This window comes from Homo sapiens, chromosome 13, assembly GCF_000001405.40.
Source record: "Homo sapiens chromosome 13, GRCh38.p14 Primary Assembly".
NCBI lineage: Eukaryota > Metazoa > Chordata > Mammalia > Primates > Hominidae > Homo > Homo sapiens.
The window spans coordinates 87,887,796-87,896,184 of NC_000013.11; the positions used below are offsets into that span (position 1 = coordinate 87,887,796).

The following is an 8,389-nucleotide window of genomic DNA, read 5'->3' on the forward strand; positions in this document are numbered from 1 at the left end:
TTTTTTTTTTTTTTGAGACAAGTTCTCACTTTGTCGCCCAGGCTGAAGTGCAGTGGTACCATTAAAGCTCACTGCAGCCTCTGCTTCCAGGGCTCAGGTCATCCTTCCACTTCAGTCTCCCAGGTAGCTGAGACCACAGGTATGCACCACTACACCCAGCTAAGTGTTTGTATTTTTTGTAGAGATTGTGTTTCACCATGTTGTCAAAGCTGTTCTCAGACTCCTGGGTTCAAGCGATCCACCCACTCTGGCCTCCCAAAGCTCTGGGATTACAGGCATGTGTTACCTCGCCTGTCCCAGAAGTAAGTTTAAAGATGAGATTTGGAGGGGACACAGCATGCTTGTAGTTATTTTTTTCTTATAAATCATATTGTAATTATCTTCTCTCTTAAATTATCATAAGAACTCCATTTTTAACAAAGTCTGGCATTTGAAAAATCCTAGAATATTCTTTATAAATTAAAATATATGCTGTTAGGAAGATTATTTAATGTAATGTATCGTGAATGTCGAAAAAAAGTAGAAACACTACAAGCAAGCCAAAGAAACTTTTATTTATTTACTTAATTAGTCTACGAAAGTGTCCAATTTGTTCAGTGAATTGTGGCTAATGGGTGATGCTGTTAAGTCTCAAATTACCAGCGCTAAGCTTCATTTCTTTCGGTTTCCACTATCTGCTGAATGGAAGGAATAGAAAAGAACATTGCAGTGGAGATGGGTAAAGCAAAATGTGGAAAATTAATCAAAGAGGATGAGTAACTAAGAAAGAAAAATTAGAAAAATAGATGCTTTCCAGTTATCGATGCTTCTGTTTTTATCAATTGCCACCAAAACCAATATAGAAGTATCAATAGATGATTGCCTTTGTGTATTATAGAGGACTAGTTTCAAAATTACTTAACTGATTGATTGATGCCTAATTTGCTTGCTCGTTAAGCATCACAAGGTGTCCTGTACCAGGAAACTAGGCACAAAATTTTGAACATCTTTTAAATATAATGGCATTTTCCTTTGTAATTTTGTGTATTGCAACTAAAAGACTATTAATAAAAAATCAAACAAAATGGACCAAAATCTAGATTTGTTTTTGAAATATGGCATAATAATAAAATAAAATCAGGTAAGGGTTAATGGTTTTGAAACAAGCAGCCACGTGCAAAAACTGCCCACACAAAAAAATGATAAATATTCCAGGAGATGGACAGGCTAACTACCCTGATTTAATCATTATGCTTTGTATCCCATAAAAACCTACAATTATCACATGTCAACTAAAAATAAAAGGAAAACAAGTTGATTAATGAAAAAAATGGGAAAGAATACAAAGCAAAAGGGACTAAAACACTACTTTAAGACCCTTATTCAAGACAAGGAAGCAGAAATGACCATGTTTTAAAGCTCCTAAACTTGAACCTCTGTGATAGAAGATTTTATTCAATGAAGCAGAGTTGTTAGGAATCAATTCTCTATAAATTGAAGTAATAATGTTCCTCGAGCAAACACTTGCCTTATATAAACCCTTCATAATGACAGCAAATCAAGAAAACTATACAATGACAGAGATTCATTTACTGTAGAAGCAAATACAGATAAGAGCTATAGCAAACCTTTCTGAAAGCTTTGTCTAACTAACCCTTCAAAGCTGAATGCTTTCAGCTGTAAGGGCTCTTCACTTTCCTTAGAATGTTTACTATTCACCAGAGCGTTTCTACAAAATTTGACCAAAGAGTTAGCAACAAATTATACTAATAATGACTACTCTACTGGAAAAATGTGAAATATAAACAGCTCCAAATTGCTTGCAATTGAATGAAAGGTAGGATACATTGTTGTCTTTTGTTTGTTTTTCTTGCTTTTTTTTTGATTTTTGCTAATCTTAATTCTTTTTTTCACAGTTGGCTAGGTGTTGAAATATTCTGAGGGAAGAGAAATGACAATGTAGACATTTATAATCTTGTATTAGCTTAATAGTACAGTTAATGTGTCATGATTATCATGTAGGTATAGTTTTACAAATGTGTCTGTCTAGATTAAGGAGGTTCAATATTAGTGCTAGTCTGCTAAGAATACTAATTATATTTTAAAATCATAAGCAAATTGAATTTTTCAACTACCTTTTCTAGATCTATTGAATTAAGCATAATTTTTATTTTTTTGTATTTAAAACAATAAAACTTTTATTTTTGCTTAAAATGTGCAGCTTCTACCAATTGTCAAAATATAATCTCAGTTAAGAATACTCACCTCATTTTTTTTTTATCTCAGACTTGAAATAAGTTAGAAGAAAACAGAGTAAACAGCACATGATTTTCTTTTAATAGCACCTTGAAAAAGTACAGTGCACTAGCAAGGGCATTAAGAGGCGGGGAAATGCCTTCAGACCCAATGGTTATAGGGCACCGCAATGTATGTGAGAGCATAAGGAAATGTGGTGACACCATTGTCTTGGGTTAATGTTAATGCTTTATGAGAAGGAACTTGGTTAAAATAATTTCCTTAGAGGGCAGTTCAGGACCTTCATCAGCTTCCTGGTCTTTTTGCTCTGAAGCCTTCATTTTCTCATTCTTAGCTTCTTTAGCCTGAAACTTAATTTTGTTTAGTTCAGGATCATGTTGGGACTTATTCAGGTTTTTGTGCTGGTAAAAGACAAGGGAGAGGTGAATTGATTGACTAGGCTTTAGATGCTCACAGGAGTCATAGTGTGAAGCTCTCACAGGGCACACTGAATCAAAACTGAGCTGTGCCATGACCACCCGACCAATATATGCAGCCAAAAATATGTGCTCACTGTCTGACCAATACTCACCTAGGTGGGACAATTTCTTTTCAGCAGGTGACAGGCAGTCATCAGATAGCAACTAGTTTGATAGAGGCTCATTTGCTTCAGAATGCTGCTCATCATCTTCCATCAAAGAGGCGAGGTCTTGAGAAGAGTTGAGGAAGGGGTGCTGCTGGCTTGGCTGATGAGAAGTTAGTGGTTCAGTTAGACCAGTGGGAGGCTGAGAAGAAACCAAGGGCTCTGTCACAGGGGGAGACAGAGTGGGGGGAGAAGCCACTTCGCCAGGCTGTGCAATTCTAGAGCATTCCGCAGCAGCTGCATTGGCACCACTGAGTCTTCCAGAAGGCATCGTGCAGTGAGCAGTGGGGAATGCTACTTCTTTCTGAAAACCTGTAGGGGACTGTTGCATCCTTCTTCAATAGAGCTGGGTGGCTGAAGCAGTCTTCGGGGACCAGGAGAAGCCTGGAGATGGAATGGCCTCTTTCACTGGGTGACAAATGGATGGAATCAGAGAATAGGTTTTAGTGTTGTGGCCTCACAAATCTTTTAAGATAAAATAGGGTTCCTTTACTTTAGGTTGCACTGTCTCTGTTTTAATTGCGAAGATTGGCAGCAGTAAAGCCTTACTGAGGTTTATTGTTGCTGAGTTATTCCTCCACTTGATTTGGGGAATGGGTTTTTTCTCCACTGCCCTTATCTTACATGCAAGAACCTCCATCATCATCACAGCCCTCTTCTTCTCAGAACTTGGGAACAGGCTGAATGAAACATGTTCTTCTTTTTTTTTTTTTTCTTTGCATCAAGGTGCCAGGACCTCAATGGTCCCAGATTTGATCTTGGCTTCCATTCCCTCCCTTCAGCCAAACTCATCTGTGTCTGAAAGTGTATAAAGAAGTAGCACATGGAGCTGCTTATCTTGAGGAATAACACCCAAAGAGCAGTTATCTTCTTGAATTAAAGTACAAACCACAGTGCTTCCATTATTCATGTTGTGAATGTCTCTGTGGGGTTGGGCAGAGAAGTCCAGGCAAGCTATGATGCCAGAGAAGGAAAAACTATTCTTGCTGCCAAGCTAACATTCTCGTGCAACATTTTCATGTTCCACCTGATTTTGGTAAGCTAATGGAGCATGTTGCTTATATATTGGAACTAATTGTGTAGCCAAATTCTTTAAGTTATCTTCAAGGTTTTTTTCCATGGCCTCATGTTCCACACAAATTTGTTCCAGTTTTATATATTGTCTTTCTGGATTATGTCCTTTAGTAATTCTTTCATAGTAGGTATGTAAGAGAGAGCTTGAATCAATTCTAAATCTTCTGGAGCTTGGGCCGCTACCAAACTTACAGCCATTAAAGTACATACTCCATGAACAGCCAAAGGAGAATGAAGTGCCACATGTCTCTGGATCAATTCCTTAACATGTACAGGTACGATTTTAATGGAGGGTGCATCTTCGGTTGGTGGGATGCATACTGTATGACCTTAGATTCTTGGTGAGCTCTGTGTACAGCCAGTCAGCCACTGAGAAGCGATTGCCATCCCACACCATGATGAGCATCACTATCACAGCAGTTGGACAGTGGTGGCCTGTACACTGCTAGACCAGAGAGCTTTTTCTGTATCACTGCTTCTTGTTAAAACCCACTTAATGATTGGACACCTATTAGAGCTTTTCCCTTCATTACCAGTGTACACTACTGTTTCTATCCTTATTATGTTTCCTTTTTCACAATACATATTCACCATGATTTCCCTGACAGCAGCAACACCTGGTCCTGCCTCAGGTGTATATAATATGAGCCTTTGATTTTTCGTGTAACTCGATCAAGACAGTTGCAGGTGGGCAGTTCAGAATCTTTAGTTATAGACATCAGGTGTTTTGTAGGGATAGTAAAGAAATTCATGGCATATTCACCAGAATTTCTCTGTGCATGCTTTGCTGTGGAAAACTGATGTTTCAACAGTGGGTGAACCTACTTCCTCTTCACTTTTGGTAGAAACCATTGTAATTCCACCTGAACATGCAATATTTACACTCCTAAGAGTTGGTGCTGACTTCAGTAAGGATGTCTCATGAGAGATATAAGGTAATGTTGTCAGTCTCTGGTACATGAGATGCTCTTTAACAGCAAGCATGGGCTTCTTTTTCCAACAATCTCCTGATGAGGTAGATTTTGTCTTTTTCTGGGTTGTGTTCTTTTACTTTGTTAATGATGAACTATGATTATTTTGGACACTTGAAGGTGGTTTCTATTGTATTACACCCTTCTCCTGATTGTATTTTTGCTGTACATTACATGCAACAAGGCTTGTCAGTGTACTTTCAACATTTTTGTCCTCTGGTTTTATATAATTGAAATTAATTATTGAAGCAAGTTATGTCAACTGTATTGCAACATGTTCTTCAATTTGAGTATGAGCTGCATCTTGACCTGATAGGCCATCTATACCAATTTTTCTTTTTTGCTACTGTCCAGTAACTGGTTACAATATCCCAACTTGTTATTTTTTAGGGGCAACTGATGGAAATTCTTGCAACAACTGTCAAGAGTAATTCTACCTTGAGTAATACTTTCATTGGTATCACTCTTGGATGAATTTAATTCTGGCTTAAAAAGAGATAACTAGCTGTTCTCTGCTCTGATTCTTCATCATTCTCTGACTTTGATGGGGAAGAATTCTCTGGTGGGGCTTCTGAGAGCTGAGTCAAGACCTCTATGGCTGCCACTTCCTCCAGTGTTAATCTCTTACCTTTCATTAAGGATAAGAGACTTGGTTGAGATCCATCTTTTGGTTCTTTACTTGGTATAACCTCAGGAGTTTGTGGTTTATCAACTTCATTGTGTGTACTACCATGACAGTGTATGTTGGAGTGTGAAGAATGTGGAATGGAATTGCAGTTAAAGCCAGACTGCTGGAAGACTAAAACATTACTTCTCCTTTGAGATGATAACAACTTGCATTAGTAGCAACAGAGCTCATGGCAGGTGTCTTTTAGGAATTTATAAGATTGTTTTTAAATGTCTTGCCAAATTCTTCAATATTAAATTTTTTAAATGACACATTTGTTTCCATTGATAAATAGTGTACATGTTTAGTGCCATTTCTTACAGTTTGTACAAACAATTTTGGAGGTTTGTCTCTTGTCAACTTCAGAGTTTTTCGATTTTTCAGCTTCTGGGACATTAGCACTGAAATCTCCTTTGACATGATCAGTTAAATGTAATTTCTTGTTTTACATCTTCTCCACCTCAATGGCTGTCATGCATTCTTCAAGTTTAGTTATAATTTCAAGGGGATGTGGATTCAATTCCAATCCTTGTTCTTCCCCATCTATTGTAGTCCATGGATTCTGACTTGGGGACATTTACTGATTTGTTGTCAAAATCTGCCTTTAAAACTTTGAGTTTCTTTTCCCTCTGGGGTCTCTTGATTTCCTTTATAACCTCCAAAGGCACAATGACAGATGATGTCTTTTTCAGCTCCTAACATTTCCTCTTCTTAAGATCTGATGGCTGTTCTTTCTCTTCTTGCAACTAGTGCATTCACCAAAGTTGCACTTCTGCTGGTAGGGTTCACAGACCTCATATTGCTTTCATTTCCTTTTTTTTTCAAAGTGGGTGATAAAGTGGTTTAAGAAGGAGAAGAGGAGATACTGACCAGTCAAGCTGGCATAGTCACCACTGTGGTGTTGACAACATGAACTGTGCTGGTTATGCTGACCTGGGAGCTCCCTCTTTCTGATTCGCTGGGACCTGCCTGGGAGAGTTGGGCAATACCCAGTGAAGCATGGAAGAGTCTTCTCTCAGGGGCTATTAGGAAACCCCGAGTGTTATCTGGCAGAAAGCTTATATGAACTTGCTTTTCATTTTCTACATTGCTTATAGCCATTGCTGGAGGTAATGAATTTTTCTCTGGGGTTGATGATGATTGAGGAGTGTGTCCTGAGTCCAAAGGCAAAATGTATATAGCACTCTGGACCACAAACCCATATGAGACAGTGCCATAGGGCTCAGGCCATTTGGGAGGAGCCTGATAGGTAGCACTTAGATTTGGAGGAACAGGAAGGAAGAGAGGCAAGTACGGGGCAATGCCCCCACTCATACCAAGGGTTTGTTGTTGGTCTAAGATAGTACCAAAGAGCTCTTCTTGGACTGGAATAGCACCAGGAACCTTTGTTGGATCTGGGGTCTTACCCAGGGCCTTGGCATGAAGTTGCCACTGATGTGGGATAGCACTGAAGATCTGTCCTAGGACAGAGGTGGTATTAGCAACTTCCTGTTGATTTGTAGTAGCTTTGAGGGCCTCTTGATGATCTGGTTTAGCACCAAGGGTTGCTTGTTCTTAGCCTGCCAAAAGGAATTTTCTTAGACATGTAGAAGATGTAGATCTACCAAGAGCCATCCAGTTTCTAAGGTTCAGTACAGGTATAACCTTATTAAAACTGGAGGTGGGATAGCAATCATATTCACTTTTAATGGGATCTGTGTAAGAATCAGATAACTTAAGGGATTCTACTCATTAACCCAACTCTTCTAATTGAATTCTGGGGTTTCCTTGAGAGATAACTTTGGCAGTTGTTCTTTGTGGCAAAGGAGCACACACAATGCCCTTAGCAAACAGTCTTGGGGAACCACTAGTATCATTCAATGTTTCTTCAGAGAATAGTCCTTTACCACAGCATGTCCTTTCCAATGGACAAGAAAGAATCTCAGCTGCAGGGCCACTGAGGGTAGGGATATTGATTTGAGAATGTTTAACCCTTTTGTACCAGGACTGAGTTGTCTCTTGGCTCTTACTTTTGATTAAAGAGGGATTTTGTACACCAGATAGAGCCTCTATATTAAGAAGAATGTGGTGTCTTGCATTGGGACTGAATCATTTTTTGAGCTCTTTCCTCCCAAGTCAGTGAGTATCTTATAATTATCATCATGTAGCTTTTCTAAACCCTTAGAAGGTGGAACTTTCTTGAAATTGGCTATGACCAGTGGGGTTTGGGAGAGTCGCCTGCTAAGAAAGGTTCTTCTTAGAGCCACTGTGAGCCCACTGCAGGTTAAGAACCCTGGGTTCTGAAAAGAAACCTCAGTCCTATCCAAATTCATGTGTGCTGTTCCAGCTCTTGTCAGAAAGCTTCTGACTGGCATGGATGGTTTAGGTTCTGGTTTTTTTCTTAGCATCTCTTTCTTGAATTAATTGCTTTAATTTTCCAGGGCTTAAAGCCTTGACTGGTGCCACATTTTTGTTGGCTGTCTTGGATGTCTTCTGTAGTTTGCTGTTTCTCTTTTTGTTTGCATCTTTCTTCCTGACTAATCTGGAAGCCTTGTGTGGCAGGACCCAGACATAGCTGCAGGGTAGAAAAAAAGTAAGAGGCACAGGAAACAGTCCTTTGTCCTTTAGAAAGTCTCACTTTAGAGGATAATCTGGATGCAGTGTTCTTAATCTCATTCACACAAGGTTTTGGTGCTTACCAGTGCATTATGAGGGACACAGATGATCACCCAAAGAGGACATACTAAGGGCATGGTTGTGGAGGGAGGTGTCACAGAGTTCCCATGCCCTGTCTGGGCACACTACCCTCACAGCAGCTCCAAGTGTTCAGCAAGTCCAAAA

General features: G+C 39.3%; 1 pseudogene; it reads right to left on the bottom strand.

Moving 5' to 3' along the window:
- TET1P1 (tet methylcytosine dioxygenase 1 pseudogene 1) lies at positions 2,148-5,802 on the bottom strand (annotated as a pseudogene).
- Between the last annotated feature and the right edge of the window lie 2,587 nt (positions 5,803-8,389).